At 45.6% G+C, this 26,653-nt stretch overlaps 1 long non-coding RNA gene and 1 pseudogene across 2 annotated transcripts in view, besides 4 other annotated features; both read left to right on the top strand.

Moving 5' to 3' along the window:
- LIPE-AS1 (LIPE antisense RNA 1) overlaps window positions 1-26,653 on the top strand; it is a 255,208-nt gene that overhangs the window by 56,023 nt on the left and 172,532 nt on the right. The gene's annotated exons all lie outside the window — the stretch shown is intronic.
- Window positions 12,467-12,967: an enhancer, noted in NCBI's record as "H3K4me1 hESC enhancer chr19:42969789-42970289 (GRCh37/hg19 assembly coordinates)". NCBI's record gives its function as "activates a minimal SCP1, AML or CMV promoter by ChIP-STARR-seq in primed H9 embryonic stem cells {active_cell/tissue: H9 hESC(primed)}" and the evidence as "EXISTENCE:reporter gene assay evidence [ECO:0000049][PMID:30033119]".
- Window positions 12,712-12,921: an enhancer, noted in NCBI's record as "active region_14719". NCBI's record gives its function as "activates an Ori minimal core promoter by ATAC-STARR-seq in GM12878 lymphoblastoid cells {active_cell/tissue: GM12878}" and the evidence as "EXISTENCE:reporter gene assay evidence [ECO:0000049][PMID:35858748]".
- Window positions 18,142-19,122: an enhancer, noted in NCBI's record as "OCT4-NANOG-H3K27ac hESC enhancer chr19:42975464-42976444 (GRCh37/hg19 assembly coordinates)". NCBI's record gives its function as "activates a minimal SCP1, AML or CMV promoter by ChIP-STARR-seq in primed H9 embryonic stem cells {active_cell/tissue: H9 hESC(primed)}" and the evidence as "EXISTENCE:reporter gene assay evidence [ECO:0000049][PMID:30033119]".
- On the top strand, window positions 19,705-19,839 carry RNU4-60P (RNA, U4 small nuclear 60, pseudogene; annotated as a pseudogene).
- Window positions 20,103-21,083: an enhancer, noted in NCBI's record as "OCT4-NANOG-H3K27ac hESC enhancer chr19:42977425-42978405 (GRCh37/hg19 assembly coordinates)". NCBI's record gives its function as "activates a minimal SCP1, AML or CMV promoter by ChIP-STARR-seq in naive H9 embryonic stem cells {active_cell/tissue: H9 hESC(naive)}" and the evidence as "EXISTENCE:reporter gene assay evidence [ECO:0000049][PMID:30033119]".

The following is a 26,653-nucleotide window of genomic DNA, read 5'->3' on the forward strand; positions in this document are numbered from 1 at the left end:
GAGGTTGAGGTGTGAGGATCGTTTGAACCCAGGAGCTCAAAGCTGCAGTGAACTATGATCACGCTGTTGCACTCTGGCCTGGGTGATAGACCAAGAAAAAAAAAAAAAAACAAGTGGGGAGGACAGGGTGGTTTAGGGGAGTTAATGTACCTCTAACCTGGATTCTCTGAATTGTTCTTTCAATCATGTCTGGAAGTGTACATCTTTGTATGTGTGGTCATATATTTATATCACATCACTCATAATTCCCTGCCTGTCAGTGGCAATTAGGAGATCATGTCAGTCAGGCTTAGGATATTAAAATTATGTAGTATGTGCTTTCACTGGAGCAAAGGTTTCTCTGAAGTCTGGAGAGAAAATGGACCAGTAGGGCTGGACCCTTTACTTGGGGTCCTGCCTTCTCTTTTTATTGGACAGCAGCCTACTCAGCCATCACTTTCCCAATCAGGGGCTTTTTTTTTTTTTTTTTTGAGATGGAGTCTCGCTCTGTCGCCCAGGCTGGAGTGCAATGGCACGATCTCGGCTCACTGCAAGCTCCACCTCCCGGGTTCATGCCATTCTTCTGCCTCAGCCTCCTGAGTAGTTGGGACTACAGGCGCCCGCCACCATGCCTGGCTAATTTTTTGTATTTTTAGTAGAGACGGGGTTTCACGGTGTTAGCCAGGATGGTCTTGATCTCCTGAGCTCATGATCCACCCACCTCAGCCTCCCAAAGTGCTGGGATTACAGGCATGAACCACCGCGCCCGGCCAATCAGGGGCTTTTTAACCTTCCCATTTTCCTATAAAGGATCCATGCCAATGTTCAGATATATTTATTGTGCCTGGAACTGGATGTTCTTTTAAAAAGTGAATCCCAGGGATGGCTTCCTAGCAGATTTCCAGGATTCTAATCTTCACTGTCTAAACTGTGGGTTTCCAACCTTGAATACTGATTAGAGTCGCTTGTAGGGCATTTAAAACCTACCAATGCTTGTGCCTTCCCCCAAGAGAGTGTGATTTGATTGATGCATGATGTGGCCCACGCACTGGTTGTTTATGAATGCTTCCAAGGAAAATGGTCATTTTACAGTGGGGGAACTGTAGCCCAGTGCTCAAAGTTAACATCTCCAGTAATCAGAGATACTGACATCTTAGGGCATCCTAATATGATGGATGGAGAAGGCGCAGCATCACCTCTGTAGTATTCTTGCCCAATGTATATAACTTTAGTTTCATCATGAGAAACAACTAGGAAAGCCCAAACCGAGGGTCATTATACAAAATAACTCACCAATACTCTTCGAAAATGTTAAGGTCATGAAGGCAAGAGAAATTCTGAGGAACTGTCCCAGATTAAAGGAAACTGGGAGGACAGAGCAATGAGATGCAATGTCTGATCCTAGATTGGATCCTGGTCCAGAAAAAGAACATTAGTGGGAAGATAAAGGGGATTTGAATAAGGTCTACAGATTCATTCATTGTACAGTATCAGTGATCATTTATTGATTTTGATGATTATACTGTGGTTATCTAAAATGTTAATATTTGGGGAGGCTGAGTGAAAAGTATATGAAGACCCTGACTATTTGTAGAAGTTTTTTGAAAGTCTGAAATTATTTCAGATGAAACTAAAGAAAGGAAAAGAAAGCTTCCAGGTAATTCTACTGAGTTGCCAAAGCTGAAAACCACTTCTCTAAGTTATCTTGCTTAATAATACTGTCAAGAGTAATCTTCCTGGAAATACCATATTGTTATGTTTGTGACCTTTTCAAAGCTTTCCAGTGATTGCTGTCATCTAGGATGAAGTTCCTGCTCCTTAGGCTACCATTTAAAGCCCCCATAGCATGGCCTCAATCTACTCCGTTGATCTACGTGGAAGGACTTAACCTACATTTTACTTTCTCATGCCTGAGCTTATTCTAATTCTTTTACTCCTTCCTATATAATACCCTTGCCTTCCTGTTCAGCCTCCTGAGCTGTTCTTTGTGCTATGGCCCATTTCAGACCCTGTCTCTTCATTGAAGCCTGTATAGTTATTCCTGTTAGAAGCAATCATCCTTCCTTTCTTTGAATTCTGGTAGGTACCGTGATGTGGAGTGAACCACGAGCTTTAGATTCAGAAATATGTGAGTTTGAATCCTTTGACAGTTCCACCTTTAACCAGTTCTGAGATAAGGGACAAGTTTATCAACATCTTGGAATAGAGGGGTAATAGAGTACCTGCATCAAAGGGTCATTGTGACCATTAGATCAGATGCAAACATAAAGGTCCTCAGCACAGCATATAGCAGATTCTTTCCTCAGCACTTTAATAGCTCAGTGGTTCCCAGAAAGTTTGTGGGTGGTGTGAAGGCTCTTATCAAAATTTCCTAAAGAGCCTTTTAAAAATATTTGCACCTGGTCATCACTAAGATGACAGATGCTCTTTAATGGAACTGAATGCTTGGGACTTTAAGAAATGCAACTGAGATTTTTTTTTTTCCCCCTTGGAACACAACTGAGTAAATAAGTGACCTAAGGGCAGAGGAATGTAACCCAAAAGAGGGAGAAGGAGGAACTGGGTTTTTAAGTAGGAAAAAGCTGTGATGCCTTCCACACCCACTCTGTTGCTGTCAGTGAGACAGCAGTGAGGAAGTACCACTCCCTAGTACAACTCCTTAAACCATGAGTCCTGAACAGCCCTTCACTAATCCATTCCCTGTCCAGATGATGTGTACCTGGATGAGTCAGATCCCCATGAGTCAATCATTCTTCTCCGTCTTCAGCTCCTCCATCCTCACCACTCAGTGCTATGTGCTATGGTCTGGCCCCACTTCCCAGGCCATTAGTATTGGCCTAAGAAAGCAAGACTGGGAGGGGCAACTGAGAAGGAAGTCAGAGGCCACTAGGCATGGAAAGAGGCAGGTGGGGCTGTCATTGCTCAAAGGCCACACACTCTGGGTGTGTTTTATGACTGTTCCTGGATTTGAAATCTTTTCCCCTTTGTGATCATTCCAGAGACTCACCCTCCTCCTGCTTCCTTCTCATCACACTATCTGTTCCTAGTGCATCCCTTTTACGGCCAGAGAATGGCTGTACAAATAGTTAACAATTCAGTAAAAGTTACAGCTGAGCACGGTGGCTCACACCTGTAATTCCATCACTTGGGAGGATGAGGAGGGCGGATCACGAGGTCAGGAGTTGAAGACCAGCCTGACCAACATGGTGAAACCCCATCTCTACTAAAAATACAAAAATTAGCTGGGTGTGGTGGCACGCACCTGTAAGCCCAGCTACTCAGGAGGCTGAGGCAGGAGAATTGCTTGAACCTGGGAGGCGGAGGTTGCAGTGAGCCAAGACTGTGCCACTGCACTCCAGCTTGGGCGACAGAGCGAGACTCCATCTCAAAAAAAAAAAAAAATTACTTTTTGGGAGAACTGGGAACCTGGCCTTCCTTTTTGCCAAAAGAGATTGAGGTCCATAAAAGCCAGCTTTTATTCCGGGCTGTGCAGTTGTGAGTGTGGTGTTAGGGAACAGGTACATAAGTGAAGGGTAAGACAGAAAACAAAATGCTGGCTGTTTGTCAAATCCTGAGAGTAGAGGGGACAAAAATCATTCTGAAAGGTGGATGTCATTCAGGACACCTTGGAAATCTTAGGGTGTCCTCGCCCAGATGGGGAGGAGGATGAGGTTAAATTATGGAGTTGAGTGACACTTGGTACATTACTAAACTTCTCTGCTTCAGTTTTTTTTTTTTTTTTTTTTTTTTTGAGACGGAGTCTCACTGTGTCGCCCAGGCTGGAGTGCAGTGGCATGATCTTGGCTCACTGCGCGCTCCGCCTCCCAGGTTCATGCCATTCTCCTGCCTCAGCCTCCGGAGTAGCTGGGACTACAGGCGCCCGCCACCACTCCCGGCTAATTTTTTTTTGTATTTTTAGTAGAGATGGGGTTTCACCGTGTTGGCCAGCATGGTTTTGATCTCCTTACCTCGTGATCCGCCTGCCTCGGCCTCCCAAAGTGCTGGGATTACAGGCGTGAGCCACCATGCCTGGCCCCTGCCTCTGTTTTTTTAATCTGTAAAAATGGGGATGGTGACACTCAGGATTCTTTGAGAGGACTGGAGCTACATGGAAACCCCTTGGGATAGTGCCTGGCGGATAGTGAGTGCTGCATCAGTGTGAGCTATTATAATTATGGGAATAGACAAAGGTGTCACCCGGGGCATCCAGAGTGAGGAGGTATTTTCCAGTCAGAGTCCTGGGAGGCCAGCTGGAGATGAAGCTGGTGAAGGGGGAGGCTTAACCTCCAGGAGTGGAAGGATTGGGAAGGAGTAACTCATGCATAACATTCTGTGAAAATACCTTTACCCAACAGCAGGAATACGCACAGTGGGTGTGGCTTCTGTCACAATTATTGTCCCTGGGGTCTAGGAATGTGAAACCCAAGCCTAGAAACAGGCTTCAGGGGTGCCTTGCAAATTAGCATTCATCTTGCCAAAGGAAAATGTTCATCTTGTTAAAAGAAAGCATTTACGTGCTAAAAGAATCCCTTCTTGTGGCCCAGGTCATTATTTTTGTCTTGGTACTATCCTTTTTTTTTTTTTTTTTTTTTTTTTTTTGAGAAGGAGTCTTGCTCTTTTGCCCAGGCTGGAGTGCAGTGGTGGATCTCAGCTCACTGCAAGTTCCACCTCCCGGGTTGACACCATTCTCCTGCCTCAGCCTCCCAAGTAGCTGGGACTACAGGCGCCCGCCACCATGCCTGGCTAATTTTTTTTGTACTTTTAGTAGAGACGGGGTTTCACTGTGTTAGCCAGGATGGTCTCGATCTCCTGACCTCGTGATCTGCCCACCTCGGCCTCCCAAAGTGCTGGGATTACAGGCATGAGCCACCGCGCCCGGCCTGTACTATCCTTATTTACAAGATGTAAAGAGAAAGACTGGGCTGGGCTCAGTGGATCACGCCTGTAATCCCAGCAGTTTGGGAGGCCAAGCGGGGGCGGATTGCCTGAGGTCAGGAGTTCGAGACCAGCCTGGCCAATATGGCGAAACTCCATCTCTACTAAAAAATACAAAAATTAGCTGGGTGTGGTGGTGTGTGCCTGTAATTCCAGCTACTCAGGAGGCTGAGGCAGGAAAATCACTTGAACCCAGGAGGCGGAGGTTGCAGTGAGCCGAGATCGTGCCATTGCACTGCAGCCTGGGTGACAAGAACGAAACTCTGTCTCAAAAAAGAGACTGAAGAAGAGTGAAATAAGGATATATATGCATTAGCAGGGCAGAATTGGGACTGGTATGTGTACGTTAAGAGGAAGCATGTAAAAATTGTATGTGAACATAAAAAGGACTTCTTGTTTTAAACAGACCTCTCCATATAAATAATGTGGACTGTCTTGAGTAGATAGCAGACTCCATCACAAGAACATTCCAGCAGAATCACAAGAGAATGGATAGTGTGGCCGCTTTCTAAATGGTAGTTTAGAGTGAGCAAATCACTGAAAAGAAAGGAGACCAAGAAGATGGGTGAGGGTGAGAGAGATGGGATGGTGAAAGGAAAAGACTGAAATAAATGTTTACCGAGGGCTCACCAGGTACCAAGCTGTGTGTCTAATGCCTTACACATGTTTTTTTTTTTTTTTTTTTTTTTAAGATGGAGTCTTGCTCTGTTGCCCAGGCTGGAGTGCAGTGACGTGATCTTGGCTCACTGCAACCTCCACCTCCCTGATTCAAGGGATTCTCCTGCCTCAGCCTCCTGAGTAGCTGGGATTACAGGCGTGCACCACCACACCCAACTAATTTTTGTGTTTTTAGTAGAGACGGGGTTTCACCATGTTGGTCAGGCTGATCTCGAACTCCTGAGCTCGTGATCCACCTGCCTTGGACTCCCAAAGTGCTGGGATTACAGGCGTGAACCACTGCGCCTGAACAATGCCTTACACATCTTAATTTACTCTTTTATTGTCATCCTCTGATGGAGTAAGAGTCACCTTTGTGCTGCAAATGAGAAGAAGCTGAGGGAGGCGAGGTGAGTGGTCAGCATCATCCAGCCAGTTCATAGCAGAGCTAGTGTGTTTCACCTCAAAGTTTGTGCTCTTGCCTATGATTCAGACAGAAAAGTGAGACACAGCAGGAAGGCAAGGCAAATTTTTGTTGTGGGTGAAGTTTATAAAAGGTACCTGTATTAGGCAGAATAATGGCCTCCTGAAAATATCCACATCCTAATCCCTGGGACCTGTGCATTTTACTTTATTTGGCAGAAAGACTTTGCAGATAAGATGAAGTTAAGAATCTTGAGATGGGGGAATTATCCTGGATTATCTGAGTGGGCACATTATAATCAGAAGGATCCTTATAGGTGAAAGAGGGAGGCAGGAGAGTCAGGGTGAAAATGATGTAGCATGAGGAAGACTCCACTGGCCACTGCTGGCTTTGAAGATGGAAGGGGGCCATAAGCAAAGGAATATAGGTGGCATCGAGAAGCTGGGTCGGGCAAAGAAGAGGATCCATTCCTTAAACCTCCAGAAGGAAACCTCCAGAAGGAACACCGCCAATGCCTTGATTTTAGCCCAGAGAAATCTATTTTGGACTTTTGACCTCCAGAACTATAAGAACTGGGAAAAATGTATGTAGTTTTTACATTCCAGGAGGTTACAGTCTGCTACATAGTGAAAAGGGACTGGAAAAAATAGGCCAAAATATTAAACAACGATTAGGTCTAGATTATGGGTGGAAAATAGAATACAAGTGATAGCTATTTTTTCTTTCATACTTTATGTCTTAATTTTCAAAGGTAAGAAATTAAAGGTAATTACTGTCAGGCCTCTGAGCCCAAGCTAAGTCATCATATCTCCAGTGATCTGCATGTATACATCCAGCTGGCCCGAAGCAACTGAAGAACCACAAAAGTAAAAAGAGCCAGTTCCTGCCTTAACTGATGGCATTCTACCATTGTGATTTGTTTCTGCCCCACTCTAACTGATCAATTGACCTTGTGACATTCTTTTTCTTGGACAGTGAGTCTCATGATCTCTCCACCGTGCACTTTGTGACCTCCACCACTGCCCACAAGAGAAAACCACCTTTAACTGTAATTTTCCACTACCTACCCAAATCCTGTAAAACTGTCCCCCCAATTCTCCCTTTGCTGACTCTCTTTTCAGACTCAGCCCACTTGCACCCAAGTGCCTGTATAGTAGACTGTCTTCACATGGACGCGAGTAACAATTACATTGCGATGTTATAAATAGAAGTATTTCAATGTACCTGTTAAATCCTCTGGACGATCACTGAGAAGGCATATCTTTGAGTGTAAGGATGAATTTGCCAAGGACAGGAGTGACGTTATAGGCACAGTTTTTTAAAGGCAGGAAGAGAGGGCCTTATCCTTCAACCTAAATGGTCCATCATTTCCATGGATCAAACTCAAAGGAATGACTAGTCATCAAGGAATGTGTTCAGTGACATCTTATGGGGTAAACTGAGACATTCCAGGAGCCTGGAATCAATGTGAAGTAGTTTCAGACTTGGTGGCAGGGGAGAATGTGCTCCTAAAATCTGTTGTTTAGGGCTCAGCCTTTTCTGCTTTTTTCTTCCTATTATTTCTTAACAATGCTGAGGTGGGCAGGGCCCCAGTCCCGGAACAGGTCACCTGTACTTAATAGGAAGGTTTGTTTCCTTTGTTGAAAGGGGTGGATATATAGCCCTGAGTTTGTTTTTTTTTTGTTTTTCTTTACTAGCAATTAGGGAAACATAGAGTGGCTGCTTTCTCTACTAACAGCCTCATAATGGAGCCATCTAAATCTCTTACTGATTCCTCTAACCTCCAGGGAGCCACACCTTTACCCAGTCCTCCTAGATCCTGGGGGAATCAGAGGACCTTGTGTAAGCACTATGTGAGGAAACAAGAAAACCTAGGGGTAAGAACTCTTGTAATTGCCTCTTTTTTTTTTCTTTCTTTTAAAATATTTTAAACTTTTATTTTAGGTTCAGGGCTCCATGTACAGGTTTTTTGTTTTTGTTTTTTGAGACAGAGTCTCGCTCTGTCGCCCAGGCTGGAGTGTAGTGGCGCGATCTCTGCTCACTGCAACCTCCATCTCCTGAGTTCAAGCAGTTCTCCTGCCTCAGCCTCCTGAGTAGCTGGGATTACAGGCGCCAGCCACCACTTCCAGCTAATTTTTATATTTTTATTAGAGACGGGGTTTCACCACGTTGGCCAGGCTGGTCTGGAACTCCTGACCTCAGGCAATCCGCAGCCTCCCAAAATGCTGGAATTACAGGCGTGAGTTACCGTGCCTGGCCTGCAGGTTTGTTATACAGGTAAACTTGTGACTCAGGGGTTTCGTATACAGACTATTTTGTCACTCGGGTACTTAGTACCCAACAGTTTTTTTTTTTTTTTTTCTGATCCTCTCCCTCCTCCCACCCTCCACCCTCAAGTAGGCCCCAGTGTCTGTTGTTCCCCTCTTTCTGTCCATGTGTTCTCATTTAGCTTCCACTTATAAGTGAGAAGACACAGTATTTGGTTTTCTGTTCCTGTATTAGTTTGCTAATCTATTTTATTAAAGTATGTTTCCCTTTCACCCCTCCTCCCTCCCCACCCTAATATTTTAGGGCTAAGCCCTCATCACTGGACACAAAGAAACTGGTTTCTTAGATGCTGCTATGCTTTGGTTCCACCCACCAAGACAATGGGCCTATTTTTTTCTATAATCAAAGGCCCTGTGTTTGGCCCGTACAGTTCTACGTTAAACTGGTGCCAAAGCTCACGCCTTCCTGTTCCGTTCCTTCCAGGTCATCTCAGAATCTGCAGGCTTGTGGGGCAGGGTAGGGAGTCCTGAGTGGTGACCACAGAAAGGGGAAAGCTGTGGGAATCCAAGACAGTTGTTCTTGAGAGAGTCTTCTAGGCCTGTTGGCAGAAGAAGCAGAATTGTGGGCCAGGACCTGGGTCCTGGTGTTGGTGACTGAGCTCTGACTTTGAATGAGTAGATTTGCCTATCTAGGCCTTAGCTGTGCCTGCTGCAAAATGAGATTTGAGATGAACTCAAGCCCTTACAGCTTGACTGCTCTAGCCATGCATTTTCTTTTCTCTTCCTCATTGAAATCTATATCATTCCTTCAGGGCCCAAGGACCCATGCTCAGAAGAAATCAATTTGGCTAATGTCCTTATGAGAGGGGACCAACCCTCAGGCTTTATGTGCTCTTTGGCCTTTTATGCAAGAGTGGTGAGGGTGGATATTTTTGTTCTGGTCTTCTTTTGGTGCTCTTTGATAGCAGGAAGGGCAGAGTCCTGACAGACTGTGAAAGTCTTGACCACCAGCTTAAGGAGTCTGGACTCTTGTGAGTGTGGAACTACCAGAGGCTTAAAGTGGGAAGTGACCTGTGTCTCAGGACACATACTCTAGGAGAAGTGTGGCTGTGCAGAGTCCACATGAGAGACTCAGATCTGAAGTGAGAAATCAGAGGGCATGAAGAACAGGGGCATAGGCGTGAGCCATTTGAGGAAGAGTTGGAGGTCTTTGTGAGTGACCAGAGGGGAGGAGATGGGAAGGAGGGGCCTGAAGATGGCTCCGAGCTGTGTCTAGTTTGGGATTTTGGGTGGACCAGATGTCATTAGCCCCAAGATAAGGGTGGGGCTAGGTTGATTAGGGGCTGAAATGCTAAACCTAGTTTTGAATGTTAGATAAGATGCCTATCGGCCATCCAGGTGGAACTACTGTGTGGGGAGTGGGAAGAATACAGCTGGCGCTGGAGCCAGGGAGTGGTAGAGGGTGAAGAGGAAAGAGGGAGTGAGCTGGGGGGGTCTCTGCCTCTGTAGTAACTTCACACCTGCTCTCCTGCGTCGAGCTCATGGCTGTGTTCTACTCTTTCCCTCTCTGTTCTCTGATCAGAGCAATTTTTCAGGGTTTTGGCTGGATAGATATTATTAGCCCAGGGGTCACATATTTACTACCAATAGGTCTTTTGGAAAATGGGGACTGTGAATCAATGAATGGAGAGGTGAAAAGAGGAGAGTGAAGGAAGGACTTTTGGAGAAAGATAATAGGGAAGAGGAGGCAGGTGAAACACATGCTATAAAATGTGTTAGCATTCATTATAAACTATAAAAAGCACAATGCAAATGTACAGTTCTGCTGAGAACACTGTGACCATGGGTTGGAAGGGGGAGAGGTGAGACTAGGAGGGTAAAGGGGAAGAAGTAGCTTAGAAGGATGAAGCCAAAAGCCAGGCTACTAGATCTAGAAGTCTCCTTGGAAGGCTCTCTACTGCTTAAAAATTACTTGGCCTATCCAATCTCTTTGGTGTAATGAGTTTTTTTTTTTTTTTTTTTTTTTTTTGGAGACAGAGTTTTGCTCTTGTTGCCCAGGCTGGAGTGCAATGGCACAATCTTGACTCACTGCAACCTCCACCTATGGGGTTCAAGTGATTCTTCTGCCTCAGCCTCTGGAATAGACGGGATTACAGGCATGCGCCACCACACCCGGCTAATTTTGTATTTTTAGTAGAGAGGGGGTTTTGCCATGTTGGCCAGGCTGGTCTTGAACTCCCGACCTCAGGTGATCCGCCCGCCTTGGCCTCCCAAAGTGCTGGGATTATAGGCATGAGCCACTGTGCCTGGCCTGGGTGTAATGAGTAATGGGTCTTATATGTTTATATGACGATATTAAATGCTAATAGCCAACAAATATTGTATGCTTACAATTAGTACATCTAACACAGCTAGTGTAACTAATATTGTGTACTAATAGTACGATGAGTGGCCAACAAATATTGTGTGCTCAGTATATACCAGGCAGTGTGCTAAACACTTTAACTAGATTACCTCAGTTGATCCTCACAACAGCACATGCGGCGGGTACTTTTATTGGCCCCATTTTACAGATGAGGGGAGTGAGGTATAGTCATTTGCCCAGGGCCTTGCAGCTTGTATGCTGGAGCCAGAATATGAAGCCAGGCCGCCTGGGGGACTATATAGCATGTGGTCTTAATCACTCAGCAGTTCAGGGTAGTTCAGTACATTCTGTACTTTTCTGTTTTTTTGTTTTTGTTTTTTTTGAGATGGAGTCTTGCTCTGTCACCCAGGCTGGAGTGCAGTGGTGCAATCTCGGCTCACTGCAGCCTCTGCCTCCCAGGTTCAAGTGATTCTCCTGCCTCAGCCTCCCGAGTAGCTGGGACTACAGGCACGCACCACCACGCCCGGCTAATTTTTGTATTTTTAGTAGAGACAGGGTTTCACTGTGTTGGCCAGGGTGGTCTTGAACTCCTGACCTCGTGGTCTGCCCACCTCAGCCTCCCAAAGTGCTGGGATTACAGACGTGAGCCACCGTGCCTGACCTTTTCTGTGTTTTTTTTTGTTTGTTTGTTTTCTTTTGTTTCCTTTTACCTCTGACGAAGACATAGATAAAATGCAGCTCAGGTACAGAAAGTGTCAACTTTCAGGTTGATTCCCAGATTGAGAGCAGGAATGCTGAGGAAAGCAACAGGGTAGGACTTCTCATAGAGTGGTCCTTGGATCATCTGTATTGGGATCTTCGAGGATGTTTATTAAAAACTGAGATCTAGGCTGGGCGTGGTGGCTCACACCTGTAATCCCAGCACTTTGGGAGGCCGAGGTGGGCAGATCACAAGGTCAGGAGATTGAGACCATCCTGGCTAACACGGTGAAAACCCGTCTTTACTAAAAATACAAAAATCAGCCGGGCATGGCGGCAGGCGCCTGTAGTCCTGGCTGATGGGGTGGCTGAGGCAGGAGAATGGCGTGAACCCAGGAGGCGGAGCCTGCAGTGAGCCGAGATTGCACCACTGCACTCCAGCCTGGGCAACAGAGCGAGACTCCATCTCAAAAACAAACAACCGAGATCTAGGCCAGGCGCGATGGCTCGTGTCTGTAATCCCAGCACTTTGGGAGGCCGAGGCGGGGGATCTCTTGAGGTCAGGAGTTCAAGACGAGCCTGGCCAACATGGTGAAACCCTGTCTCTACTAAAAATATAAAAATTAGCTGAGCATGGGGGTGTGCACCTGTACTCTCAGCTACTCAGGAAGATGAGGTGGGAGAATTGCTTGAACCCAGGAGGCAGAGGTTGCAGTGAGCCGAGATCGCGCCACTGCACTCCAGCCTGGGCAACAGAGTGAGACGGTCTCAAAACAAAAACAACAACAAACAAAACAAAAAATACCCTGAGATCTATAGTTATCACTTGGGCCAACTGAAAGAAGAATTTCTCAAACATTGATGTTTGAGACCTACTGATTTAAGGCTGAATGTCTGGTTCTGGAAGGAAATGGAATCTTGGCTTCTTCAGTCACCACAGTTTGGGTCTTGTTCCTCTGTAAAATTAACAATGTAGGCCGGCACGGTGGTTCACGCCTGTAATCCCAGCACTTTGGGAGTCTGAGGCGGGTGGATCACCTGAGGTCAGGAGTTTGAGACCAGCCTGGCCAACATGGTGGAACCCCGTCTCTACTAAAAATACAAAAATTAGCCAGGCTTTGGTAGCGCATGCCTGTAATCCCGGCTACTAGGGAGGCTGAGGCAGGAGAATTGCTTGAACCTAGTGGGTAGAGGTAGCAGTGAGCCAAGATCACGCCACTGCACTCCAGCCTGAGCGACAGAGCGAGACTCCATTTCAAACAAACAAACAAACAAACAAAACCCAAAACAATAATGTGGTCCGTGCTCTCTTTCTTTCTTTGGGCTCTTGGAGGGGTGGGGTGGGAGGACCAAGAGTGGATAAAATTGCACTTGCCTTTATACCAGAGGAGGCACTGTGAGGCAGCATCTCTTACATTTACCTTTCATTTATTTTTCTCCCCCAGATGGGTTTCACTTCTCTCTCTGTCCTGTTGGGGAACTTCCCAGCTGAGGACCTCCATGTGGTTTGGTGCTCGGTTGGGCGATGAGCATTGGGAGGGGAGCAGTTGTAGTGACTTCTCTCGGGCCTGCCATGCTCTGCCATGGAGGTGGAGTGACATGAAGTTTAGCTGCTTCACCTCAGTCTGCTCAAGAGTGGGGACTGCTGAGAGCAGTGAATGGGGGACAGTGGAATTGCAGCCTGGGATGTGAAACGGGGATCCTGTTACCTGCAGCTGTAGTCTTCACGTGTCCTCATCTTTTGTGACTCCCCTAGGGCCCTGAGCTGAGCAAGACAGACAAACAGGAGGAAGTATTAATCTTTCTGCTTCCATCTCATCCACTAGCAAGTTTGGAAGGCCAGTCCAGTTATACCCACTGCCTCGGGTGAGGACATCAGAGAGTTTTATGCAGCTCAGTTTTGGGGATGTTCACACACTCTGGCCTCAGGAAGATCCAGAAGTGAGGGAAAGGCTCTGGGCTGGGAGTGAGGAGGCCTTGTTCTGTGTCAGCTAAGCTACCGACGTTCTTTGTTACCATGAGAAAGTCACTCGCTCACTCTGGACGGGAGTTTTCTTATCTGTAAGCTGTTGGATTTGAGTGAGATCATCTTTTGTGTTCTCAAGTTCTGATTCTGTGATTAACAGTGGTAGGTTGAGGCAGGTGTGGCAGAGCCCCGAATGCTGCTTTTTCTGTCACATGTGCCTCCCTCCCCCAAAAGGAACAAGTAGTGAGTTTTATTTGCATCTCTTCTTGAATAGCTCTGTGTTTCTAAGGGCTGAAGAGGCCCACTGTGGGTGTGGTGAGGAGAGTCTGGAGGCAGGAGCTTCCTTTGGCTCTGGGGAAGGAGGCCCAGTTGGTAGCTTCCCTGCCATTGCACAGACTTCTTATGTTCCAGTAATAACATGACTTCCCTCCCTGTTCTGCCTGCCTCTCTAATATTCAGTTTCTAGAGTAGGCTATGATTGTTTTGATAGATTTCCCAACTGTTTCCTGCCTATGTGTCTTTGAAGCAAATAGCAGGAAATTCTTTTCATAGCCATCAGGGTCTCTGTTTCATATTTCCCCTTTTCCATAGAACCTGACAGATCCAGGGCACAGAGAGACACATGTGCATGTTCCAGCTCCCAGTATTCATACAGATATGGTGAAGGGTAGGTGGAGTTAGATTCTTACGGTTTGGTTAGTATTGTCCGGGGAGCTCCTGTAACACATGTGAGATTCTGTGTTCTGTGATAATGTCTTGTATGTCACTGCTACTTAAGAGTTTAAGGTGAAGCTTTGTGAGTGTATTACATGTGTCTGGTGCATGCGTGTGGGTCAGAATGTGGATCAGTGGCTGCTGATGTGCTGATGCTGAGAGGAAGTGATTTAGGAGCTGGGCTTGCTCTCTTTATGTTTCTGCTTTTTGTGCAATGTCCTGGTAACTTGTCAGAGGCTGGATAAGATGTTAGAAATTTTCTTAATCCAGTCTGAAATCTGCCTTGTTTTATTCCTGGGTATGAATCATGTGAGGGGTTGGGAGGTGGAGGATGAAATTCCCATACCTTCTGAATAGTCCAAGGTCAGTTCTCAGAAATCAGATGTTGGTTGTTTAGCCATCACACCCTTAGATTTATGAGTTGGACCTAGAGGATTTGATCGCTTCTGTGACAGAGGTATCATCCTGTTCCCAGAAAACTGGCGACACGTTGACATGCAGGAAATTGGTCAGATTTATGGCTTGTTTCTAACCAACATGTAGGCGTTCTGCCCTTTAAAAACAATTAAATTTCACTGATGTTTTTCATGTATCTAACAAGGGCCAGTTGCTGAATTCTCAAAGATAAATAAAATAAGCCGGGCGTGGTGGCTCACGCCTGTAATCCCAGCACTTTGGGAGGCCGAGGCAGGTGGATCACTAGGTCAGGAGTTCAAGACAAGCCTGGCCAAGATGGTGAAACCCCACTTCTACTAAAAATACAAAAATTAGCCGGGGTGGTGGCGGGCACCTGTAATCCCAGCTACTTGGGAGGCTGAGGCAGGAGAATCGCTTGAACCCAGGAGGCGGAGGTTGCAGTGAGCCGAGATCGCGCCACTGCACTCCAGCCTGGGCGACAGAGTGAGACTCCATCTCAAAAAAAAAAAAAAAAAAAAAGATAAATAAAATAGGATCTCTTTCCTCAGGAACAAACGGTTTGTCTTTTTTTGAACATGGACTTCTGGGGCTAATTCTCACAGTACCCAACTGTCTGTCTTGCAAGCCTTTGGGAGCTCTCAGAACCAGACAGGCTAGCTCAGTCATGCAGCAGCTGACACAGGAGAGTGGGGTGTGAGTCCAGCCCCTTGCCACTTTCTGACTCTCCCTTTTAGGACACAGTGGCCATGGGAAGGCAAGACACTGGGCTCCTTAAGAAAGGCTGTGGGGGGAATGTGGTGGAGGTGGCAACTGCAATTATCCCTCAGCTTGCCCCTCATCTCTCCAGATACAACAGCATGGCCTCAAGCACACCCAGAAGTGGAGAATGAGTGTATGTTCCCTGGGGGACCAGAAATGGATTTGTTAGTTGTTCTTACAAACTGTAGTAGTGAGATGGCAGGGCAATTTGAGCCTTGCGGAGTCATGAGTCATCCGTAGGGAACTATAATTACTTCTCTCCATTCAGACCAGGATGCTAGGCAGTAGTTAAATGGGGCAGGGCCAGGCACGGTGGCTCATGGCTTTAATCCCAGCAATTTGGGAGGCTGAAGTGGGAGGATTGCTTGAGGCCAAGAGTTTGAGACTAGCCTGGCCAACTTGGTGAAACCTTGTCTCTACTAAAAATATAAAAATTAAGGCTGGGCATGGTGGCTCATGCCTGTAATCCCTGTACTTTGGGAGGCCGAGGTGGGTGGATCACCTGAGGTCAGGAGTTTGAGACCAGCCTGGCCAACATGGTGAAACCCCCATCTCTACCAAAAATACAAAAATTTGCTGGGCGAGGTGGCACACGCCTATAATCCCAGCTACTCAGGAGGCTGAGGCAGGAGAATTGCTTGAACCCGGGAGGAGGAGGTTGCAGGGAGCTAAAATCTTGCCAGTGTACTCCAGCCTGGGTGACAGAGTGAGACTTTGTCTAAAAAAAAATATATATGTATATATATATATATTTATACACACACACACACGCACACATGCACAGATAGATAGACATAGATATCTATATATATAGGTATCTATCTATATATAAAAATTAGCTGGGCATGGTGGTGCACACTTGTAATCCTAGCTACTCGGGAGGCTGAGGCATGAGAATCACTTGAACCCAGCAGGTGGAGGTTGCAGTGAGCTGAGATCATACCACTGCACTCCAGCCTGGGTAATAGAGTGAGACTCCATCTCAAAAAAAGGGAGGGAGGGGCATTTGTGGAGAAAGATGCACAAGAAATGCTCAGGCCAGGCATGGTGGCACATGCCTGTAATCCCAATCCTTTGGGAGGCCGAGGTGGGAGGACTCCTTGAGCCCAGGAATTCAAGACCAGTCTGGGCAACATAGCGAGACCTTATCTCTAAAAAAAAAAAAAAAAAAAAATTTAAAAATTTAGCTGAGTATGGTGACACATGCCTGTAGTCCCAGCTACTTGAGAGGCTGAGGCAAGATGATCACTAGAGCCTTGGTGGTCGAGGCTGCAGTGAGTCATGATTGCCCCACAGCACTCCAGCCTGAGTGACAGAGGGCAGAGTCTGTCTCAAAATAAAAAAATAAAAAAGACATACTCAGACCAACTGGTGCCACATTTTTGTCGGAGGCTCATACATTAAGCTGCTGTCCCCTCCACCACACAGAGGCACAAAGGCAGTGGCAGCTGGGACTTCCTTCCCTGTTTTCTCCCATTCTTCTAATTCTTCATGATGCCCTTTTGTGACTTCTTTCCCCCTTTAATACTGCTTTTGATATCATTTCAGCCTGATGTCACTTGTGCAAAATCACTGGGGGTAGGCTGGGTGAAAATTTTCCAAACCACACATTCTTTTTTTTTTTGGGACAGAGTCTCACTCTGTTGCACAGGCTGGAGTACCATGTCACAATCACGACTCACTGCAGCCATGACCTTTTGGGCTTAAGTGATTTTCCTGCCTCAGCTTCCGGAGCAGCTGGCGCATGCGACCACACTTGGCTAATTTTTTGTAGAGACAGGGTCTCACTTTGTTGCCTACACTGGTCTCAAACTCCTGGGCTCATGTGATCCTCCTGCATCAGCCTCCCAAAGTGCTAGGATTATATATCAGCTTGAGCTGCTGTACTCAGCCCAAACCCCACATTCTTTTTTTATTTTTGTTTTTTATTTTTTGAGACAGGGTCTTGCTGTATCACCCAGGCTGAAGTGCAGTGGTGTGAACATACCTCACTGCAGTCTCAACCTCCTGGGCTCAAGCGATCCTCCCACCTCAGCCTCCTGGGTAGCTGAGACCACAGGTGTGAGGTGTGTGCCACCACATGTGGCTAACTTTTTAACTTATTTTTGTAGGGACGGGGTCTTGCTATATTGTTCAGGTTAGTCTCTAGCTCCTGGGCTCAAGTGATCCTCCTGCCTCAGCCTCCCATAGTGCTGGGATTATAGGCATGAGCCACTGCGTCTGGCCCAAACCCCATGTTTTTTTTTTTTTTTTTGAGACGGATTCTCTGTCGCCTAGGCTGCAGTGCGATGGTGTGATCTTGGCTCACTGCAATCTCTGCCTCTTGGGTTCAAGTGATTCTCCTGCCTCAGCCTCCCTAGTAGCCAGGATTACAGGTGCCCACCACCGCACCCAGCTAATTTTTGTTTGTATTTTTAGTAGAGACAGGGTTTCACCATATTGGCCAGGATGGTCTCGAACTCCTGACCTCAGCTGATCCACCCACTTGGGCCTCTCAAAATGCTGGGATTATAGGTCTGAGCCACCACGCCTGGCCCCAAACCCCACATTCTTAATGGCAGCTCTGGGCCCTACATAATTTCACTTCTTCAGGGTGACCCTGGGAACTTAATTCTAACTTGGGTCCTATTGTAGCTCTTTAACCACCCCAACAGCTCTGTAAGTATAGTTCAGCTTGAGAGAAAGAGACACAGAGAGAGAAACTTCAAGCACTGGGTGTTTGGTGCCTTGGGAGTCAGACAGACTGGACCTGGATTTAAATCCACTTTGTTCTCTATTATCTGCGTGATCTTGGACAACTGACTTAAGCTCTCTAGGGCTCAATTGCGACATTTGTAAAATGAAGATGATACCATGTAATAGTTATAATAGCTACTGTATTGAGCACTTTATATTTATTAATACAGTTAATCCCCATATATCTCTAGGAATTAGGTACTATTGTAGTTGTCATTTCTCAGATAAGAAAACTGAGGCATAGAGAGGTTAAGCAGCATGCCAACAGTAACACAATTCTTAAGTTGTGGAGCTGGGATTCTGAACATGGAAGCCCAACCTCAGAGCCTGTGTCCTTAACTACTGCAGTGGACTATAGTCCACAGAATGTTAACAAGGATTGAGGTGGGGGGAAAAAAACAAAAAAGCCCCCCAAAAACACAAAGCATTTAAAGTACCAGGTATAGAGCTTGGCAATAAGTTATTAAATTACATAACTGATGGCAGTAAATGGCAGCTGTTGCCGCCAGGGTAGAAAAGCCTGTTTTCCAAGCTGTGTTTCCCCATGGGCACACGGAGGATGTGGCCCTCAGTCAGGGCAAGGCAGGAGAGAGACGGGTCTTCCCGCTGTCCAGGGTTTGCAAGGTGTCAGGGCTTCTTCCACTCCGACTCTGTTAGACACAGTTTGTTGGCAAAGTCTTGTTTCTCTAATCCCAAAGTTGCCTAACAGGCCCCGAAAGGAAAACACAGGAGCAGGGTGGCCATAGGAAAGGGCTCCCTTCCAGTGAGCCAGTTGCTCAAGAATCACTTTTCTCACTGCTTCAGAGGAATCTGGCTTTTTGTATCCTGCTGTCTTACCCATTTGGTCAGGGCTCCTGGATAAGCTACCTGGGGAACAGAGTGGGGCCTCTGCCTAAATTGGCACAAGGTGAAGAGTCAATGCCAAGAAACAAAGGAGACCCTGCAGGGACCTGGGGAAACCCAAATCTGGGCTTCAGGGGAAGGGAGCATCAAGCCTGCTCTGATTCTTTGTCATGTATACTTTGGCCCTCTGCCTGGGCTTGTGAATGTCTTGGTTAGTCACTGAGCAGTTCGGGTGCACCTGTCCCATTCAAGACACCAACTGGGTTAGAGGCAGCATGGTTTTTGGCTAAATGTTTTTATGGAAGCTGAGGAACCTGCATTTCACTATAGCTCTGCCACTTTTTAGTTAAGTTGTGTGATCTTGACAGTTTACTCTTTTGTGAGCCTCACTTTTCTCATTTGAGAAAATTATGAAGATCTTTTTTGAGACAGAGTCTCATTCTGTTACCAGGCTGGAGTGCAGTGGCTTGATCACAGCTCACTGTAGCCTCGTCTTCCTGGGCTCAAGCAATTTTCCCATCTCAGCCTCCCAAGTAGCTGGGACTACAGATGTGTGCCACCATGCCTGGCTAATTTTTAAATTTCTTGTGGAGATGAAGTCTCTCTATATTGCCCAGGCTCGTCTGAAACTGCTGGGCTCAAGCAGTCCTCCCACCTCAGCCACCTAAAGTTCTGGAATTATAGGCGTGAGCCACCGTGCCTGGCTGAATTATGAGGATCAAATGACATCATGTACACAAAGGCCTTAGAACAGCAACTTACACATTATAGGTGCTCAGTAAATGCTCATAGTCACAGGTTAGGTGCAGTTGGGAGCTGTGGAGAAATATAAAGTACAATCTCTTGCCTTTAAGGAGGTTGCAGTCTAGATGGGGTGAGAGGTAATAAGATAGAAGATCATGTAAATCACAATGTTGGGAATGCATGTAAAATAATACTGGCTGGTTGTGCGCAGTGGTATTATTGTAGCCAATGAGGTTTATCCGAGGTGCAATTATTGTGAATGGGAAACTTTCGCAATAACATCAGCCAACAAGTGTCATGGACCATGAAGGCTTTGGGAGTTCAGAGCTATGAGAGCTGCCCCATGGGCTAAGCCAGGGAAGGCTTTCTGAACAAGTGAGTGTTGCAAACCTGCAAAGGTTGGAGAGGAAGGTGGAGGGACACTCCAGAAAAAGAACAGAATGAGGCCAAGTAGCATAAGTTCAGAGGATAGGAAGAAAACAGATTGGAACCAAGGGCTTGTAGGAGACATGAGAGGGAAATGAGATTGAATAGGTGGGTTGAGGTCAGGTTGTAAAGAGCTTTGAATGCCGTGCTAAGGAGTTTGGAATTTATCTGAAGGTTTTTGAGGAGGGGAATGATGTTCATATTGTGACCTTGATTTGGCCATGTATTCTTTTAATTTCTCTGGACCTTAGATCCCTTATCTATACAGTAAGAAGTTTGGATCATGTGATTGTAGAGGAGTTTCTCTAGCTAGAGAGTTTATGATTCTATGATACAGGAAGACTATTTTATTTTTGTCTTTATTTATTTATTTATTTTTGAGATGGCGTCTTGCTCTGTTGCCCAGGCTGGAGTGCAGTGGCACGATCTCGGGGCTCACTGCAAGCTCCGCCTCCCTTGTTCACGCCATTCTCCTGCCTCAGCCTCCTGAGTAGCTGGGACTACAGGTGCCCGCCACCATGCCTGGCTAATTTTTTTTTTTTGTATTTTTAGTAGAGACAGGGTTTCACCGTGTTAGCCAGGATGGTCTCAATCTCCTGACCTCGTGATCCGCCCCCCTCAGCCTCCTAAAGTGCTGGGATTACAGGCGTAAGCCACCGTGCCCAGCCGAGGACTTCAATATTTAAAGGAGAAAGAACAGGCAGGAGGAGGAGGAGGAAAGAAAAAGAAAGGGGAGGGTAGGCAGTGAGGCAAACAGTTACATTCTTGGGAGGCTTTGATTAGCACTCAGTGAATTCGCATTTTACATGTGAAAAGAAAGGAATGGAGGGGAAGTCAATTATGCATTTATCTAGTGCTCAATAGATCTACATTTTACATAAGATAATGTAAGACTGTGAAATTACAGCTATCTGTTTAGGAACAAAAAGAAGGCAGTTTCTGCATGACTCAGTTCCCAAGCTTAACTTTTCCCTTTGGCATAGTGAATTTGGGATCCCAAGATTTTATTTTCCTTTCACAAACTCAATACATTGATTAAGTTTAAGACTTCACCATGTGCCTCACACATGGAATCCAGTAAATGTTTGGTGCTGTTTATTCACTCATTGAATTCCTTAATAAGCATGTAGTTTCCTGAATGCCTGCTAGATACTAAGCACTATATTAGGTACTAAGTATATTAATGGAAATAAAAACATGGTGGCCCTTAAGGAGCTCATAGTCTTTTAAAGGAGACAAGTCAAACAGTTACAGAACAGAATGACAAGCATGGGTCAGGCACGGTGGCTCATGCCTGTAATCCCAGCACTTTGGGAGGCTGAGGCAGTTGGATCACCTGAGGTCAGGAGTTTGAGACTAGCTTGGCCAACATGGAGAAACCCCATCTCTACTAAAAATACAAAAATTAGCCAGGCATGATGATGGGTGCCTGTAGTCCCAGCTACTTGGGAGGCTGAGGCAGGAGAATTGCTTGAACTCGGGAGGCGGAAGTTGCAGTGAGCTGAGATCGTGCCATTGTACTCCAGCCTGGGCGACAAGAGCGAGACTCTGTCGCAAAAAAAAAAAAAAAAAAAAAAAAGAATAACAAGCGTTATGATTAAAGGACAAATCAAGTGTTACAGGAGCATAGGGGAGGGCTTACTAACTCATCCTGGGATGAGAATGCTGAGAACAGAGAAACCTTTTCTTTTCTTCTCTTTTCTTTCTATTTTTAAGAGCTAAGTTCTGAAAGAGGAGTAGAAATTGAGAGGAGGGCCGTCTAGGGAGAAGGAACAATACACGCAAAGTCTGTGATGTGAGGGAGTGCAAAGTCAGTGATGTGTTCCGGGAACTGCAAGTAGCTGAGCCTGTTGTCACAGAGAGTACACAGGCACAGTGATTAGAAGTAATCAGGGACCAGATTACGAAGAGCCTGGTATGCTTGGTGAAGAAGTTTAGATTTTATCCTCAAGGTGATGGAGAACTATACCTAGATTTTAGGCAGGGTATTGATGTAACCACCCAATGGGTTCTTCCTGCCTGCTGTACAAATAATGACCACAGCATTGCAGTAAAGAAAGAGTTTATGCGGTGGGACGAAAGAGTTTAATTGACACAAGGCTGGCCACACCACATGGGAGATGGAGTTGTTATTCAAATCAACCTCATCTTCAGCTCATAGGTTAGAGGTTTTTATTTTTTTCCTATTTTATTTTATTTTATTATTATTATACTTTAAGTTTTAGGGTACATGTGCACAATGTGCAGGTTTGTTACGTATGTATACGTGTGCCATGTTGGTGTGCTGCACCCATTAACTCGTCATTTAGCATTAGGTATATCTCCAAATGCTATCCCTCCCCCCTCCCCCCAGGTTAGAGGTTTTTCAAAGGCAGTTTGGGGGAAGGGGTTGGAGTGCTTGCGGCTGATTGGTTTGGGTGGAGATGAAATCATAGGATCTTGAAGCTGCTCTCTTTAGCGAGTTGCTTCTGGCTAGGGCCACAGGAGTGGAGTTGGCAGGTCCAGGTGGAGCTCTGGGTGTCAGACATGCAAAAAACCTGAAAAGATATCTCAAAAGGCCAATCTACAACAGTGATGTTATGTGCAGGACATATCTGGTGACCAGTCTACAGCTTAGCAGAATTCAGGTTCCTCTCCTCCCTCTATCCTGATGGCCTTTCATTAGCTTTACAAAGGTGGTTGAGTTTTGGGGAAGGTTTCTTATCATTTAAACTATAAACCAAATGTCTCCCAAAGTTAGTTTAGCCTAAGCATAGGAATGATTAAGGGAAAGGCAAGATGGGGGAGCATGGGTTAGATAAGATCTCTTACTGCCATATTTTTTTCACTGTTATAATTTTTCCAAAGGCAGTATCATTGACATTAGCAGACTTGTGTTTTAGGGTGATCTCTTTGACTGTCAAAGTGGAGGACAGATTGAATCTATGAGTTAGGGGAAGATGAAGCCCAGAAGCAGGATAAGTTGCGTTAGCTGTGATTGCTGCTTTCTTCTCTGGGATGCCCCTTTCCATCTTTACAGATCTTGCCTGTAGTACTTGCCATAGCACCAGGCAAATAGAAGGCATTTTACATCATGTGTTGGTTACTCCACTGCTGTGGCTTGTGCTAACAGTGACTGGGGCACTGATTTGAAAGTAAAGTGAGCACCCTTTTTCCTGTGGTCACAAATCAGGCAAAATTGCTTTCTTGGTTAGAACTGACGTGGAAGATACACACACACACACACACACACACACACACACAAATACACACACACATACAAACACACACATATATTTTTTGAGGCAGTCACTCAATCGCCCAGGTTGGAGTGCAGTGGCATGATCTTGGCTCACTGCAGTCTCCGCCTCCTGGGTTCAAGCAAGTCTTCTGCCTTAGCCTCCTGAGTAGCTGGGATTACAGGCGTGCGCCACCACGCCCAGCTAATTTTTGTATTTTCATTTGAGATGAGGTTTCACCATGTTGGTCAGGCTGGTCTTGAACTCCTGACCTCAAATGATCCCCCTACCTCAGCCTCCCAAAGTGCTGAGATTACAGGCGTGAGCCATCGTGCCCAGCCAGAAGATATGTTTGGCTCTTCTCAAGATGTCTCCATAGGCATTTTCCATTTTGTGAAGAGTCTTTGTTCCAAAGTTGACAGTGGGTTCCTTTAGGGCAGGAAACATATTTTTATTCATTTTTGTAGTCCCTGGACTTATCACAATACGTGATACATACTAGGCAATGATAGATATTTGTTTCATGAATTTGAAATTCATGTTTTGTATTTGAAATATGTTTCATGAAATATGCTGTAAATGTTGATTAGGTGCTCGGATTCCCCCTCAAAAGCCTTTTAAATCTAGAGCCTAATGGGGTACTGGGCATATCTAAGGCCTGAGAAGGAGGGAAACTCTAGGAAATGGCAGGAATTAGCAGAATGGAAGTAAGTTACTTCCCAGAAGTATTTAGCAGTTGAACTGAGACAGTTCCAGAAAGATTCTGGGCCAAAGGTTTTTAGAAAGACCTACTGGGGAGATTGGGAAGTTCTGAATTCCTTTTGCTACCTACTGTTATACAAATCGCTTTTGTTCTTCCTCATATACTTTAAAATACATTTGGCTGGCACAGTGGCTGATGCCTGTAATCCCAACACTTTGGAAGGCCAAGGTAGGAAGATTGCTTGAGGCCAGGAGTCCAAGAGCAGCCTGGGCAACACAGCAAGATCTCCATTAAAAAATTAGCCAGGTGTGGTGGCATGCACCTGTTGTCCCAGCTACTTGGGAGGCTGAGGTGAGAGGATCACTTGAGCCCAGCAGGTCAAGGCTGAGTGAGCCATGATTATACCAGGGCACTCCAGCCTGGGTGACAGAGTGAGACCTTGTTTCTGGAAAAAAAAAAAAAAAGAATAAAATTGGCAGGGTGCGGTGGCCCACACCTATAATCCCAGCATGTTGGGAGGCTAAAGTGGGAGGATCACTTGAGCCCAGGAGTTCTAGAGCAACCTGAGCAATGTAGAGAGACCTTGTCTTTTTTTTTTTTTTTTTTCTTTTGAGACAGAGTCTCATTCTGTCACTAGGCTGGAGTGCAGTTGTGCGATCTCGGCTCACTGCAACCTCCGCCTCCCGGGTTCAAGCGATTCTTTTGCCTCAGCCTCCCCAGTAGCTGGAACTACAGGCATGCACCACCACACCCAGCTAATTTTTGTATTTTTAGTAGAGACAGGGTTTCACCATGTTGGCCAGGATGGTCTCGATCTCTTGACCTCGTGATCTGCCTGCCTCGGTCTCCCAAAGTGTTAGGATTACAGGCGTGAGCCACCACGCCTGGCTGAGACCTTGTCTTTACAAAAAATAAACAAAATTAGCTGGGCATGGTGGTGCACACCTATAGTTCCAGCTACTTGAGAGGCTGAGGTGAGAAGATCACTTGTGAGCCCAGGAGGTCAAGGCCTCAGTGAGCCAAGATGGTATCACTGCACTCCAGCCTGGGCAACAGAGTGAGACCCCATCTAAATAAAAATAAATAAATAAATAAATAAATAAATAAATAAATAAATAACAGTTAAACTACATGACTTGCCATGGTTTCCTGATTCTTTGTCTTTTTATGTTTCCTTTCTTCGTTAGGAATGTTTTTTCCTTTATGCCATTGTCATCATTCTTCAGTGCCCTGCTGAAATGCTTTTCATGAAACCTTATGGAAAAAATAATCTCTCCCTACCGAAGTCATCTCAATTTTTAGACCCCCTTGTGGTACTTAATGCTCTCTACCTAGAATTATATATGGGTTATCATTCTTACACTAGAAGGAAGGAATCATATGTAATTTAGCTATGAGTATTCCAGAGTGTCTAGCACAGGTCTTTGTAAATGTTGAATGGACAATGTGGCTGAGCTGTATTACTAACTTAGTGTTATGCTTACTTTTACTTGTCAACCTAGCTGGACCATGACGTGCCCAGGGATTTGGTCAGACATTATTCTGGGTGTTTTTTTTTTTTTTCCCCCAAGATGGAACCTTGCTCTGTCGCCCAGGCTGGAGTGCAACGGCGTGATCTCGGCTCACTGCAACCTCCACCTCCCAAGTTCAAGCAATTCTCCTGCCTCAGTCTCCTGAGTAGCTGGGATTACAGGCTCATGCCACCACACCTGGCTAATTTTTGTATTTTTAGTAGAGACGGGGTTTCTACATGTTGGCCAGGCTGGTCTTGAACTCCTGACCTCATGATCCGCCTACCTTGTCCTCCCAAAGTGCTGGATTACAGGCCTGAGCCACTGCTCCCGGCCTATTCTGGGTATTTCTGTGAAGATATTTTTGCATGAGATTAAGATTTAAATTGATAGATTGAATAAAGTAGATTGCTCTCCCTAATATGGGTGGGCCTCATCCAATCAGTTGAAGGCCTGAATAGAATAAAAAGATTTATCCTCCCTTGAGGAAAGGAATTCCTCCTGCCTGACCACTTTCAAACTGGGATATTGGCTTCTTCCTGTCTCCAGACTCAAACTGAATCATCACCTCTTGAGCCTTGCTGGCCTTTGGACTGAAACTATACAACTGGCTCTCTTGGGTCTCTAGCTTTCCAGCTCACCCTGAAGCTCTTGGGACTTGTCAGCCTCCATAATTGTGTGAGACAATTCTTTATAATAAAGCTCTTTTTACACACACACACACACACACATATCTTGTTGGTTCTGCTTCTCTGGAGAACCCTACTACACTTGGGTTCTAAATGTTAGAAGTATCCCAGGGAAGGGAAAAGAGTCCTATCTACCATTCCTGGCACAGGATTAACATGAGGCACACTTTAAAAATGATGCTTACCTTTGATATCTTTTCATCTCTTGCACCCTTTTTTTGAACTCTTCTCCCTCTTCTAAGATTTAAGGTATATAGGACTTTGATGCTACCCTTATCCCTCTACTTTAATATCTGATCCAGGCCTATCTTCTTCCTCATTTATGGCCCAAATTTCCTTTTGGCCCAAATTTCCTTTGCTTTTGAGTCATTTTCCCAATCCTACCCCATTCCCATTAAAGCTCCCAACTCAGTGTGTTAGATGGAAGCTGGGTGGTAAGGGAAAAGCAGTTTGTACAAGTGATTCATGTATAGCTGAAAGCTCTGTAATCTTCTCAGAGTCATTTGCTAAATGAATTGGATGAAATACCATGTAGTTTAATAAAGTGGGATGAAAATTTTAGGCAGAGTGGGGGTAAAATCTTCGAGTAACTGCCCAATGG

This window comes from Homo sapiens, chromosome 19 (assembly GCF_000001405.40).
Source record: "Homo sapiens chromosome 19, GRCh38.p14 Primary Assembly".
Taxonomy (NCBI): domain Eukaryota; kingdom Metazoa; phylum Chordata; class Mammalia; order Primates; family Hominidae; genus Homo; species Homo sapiens.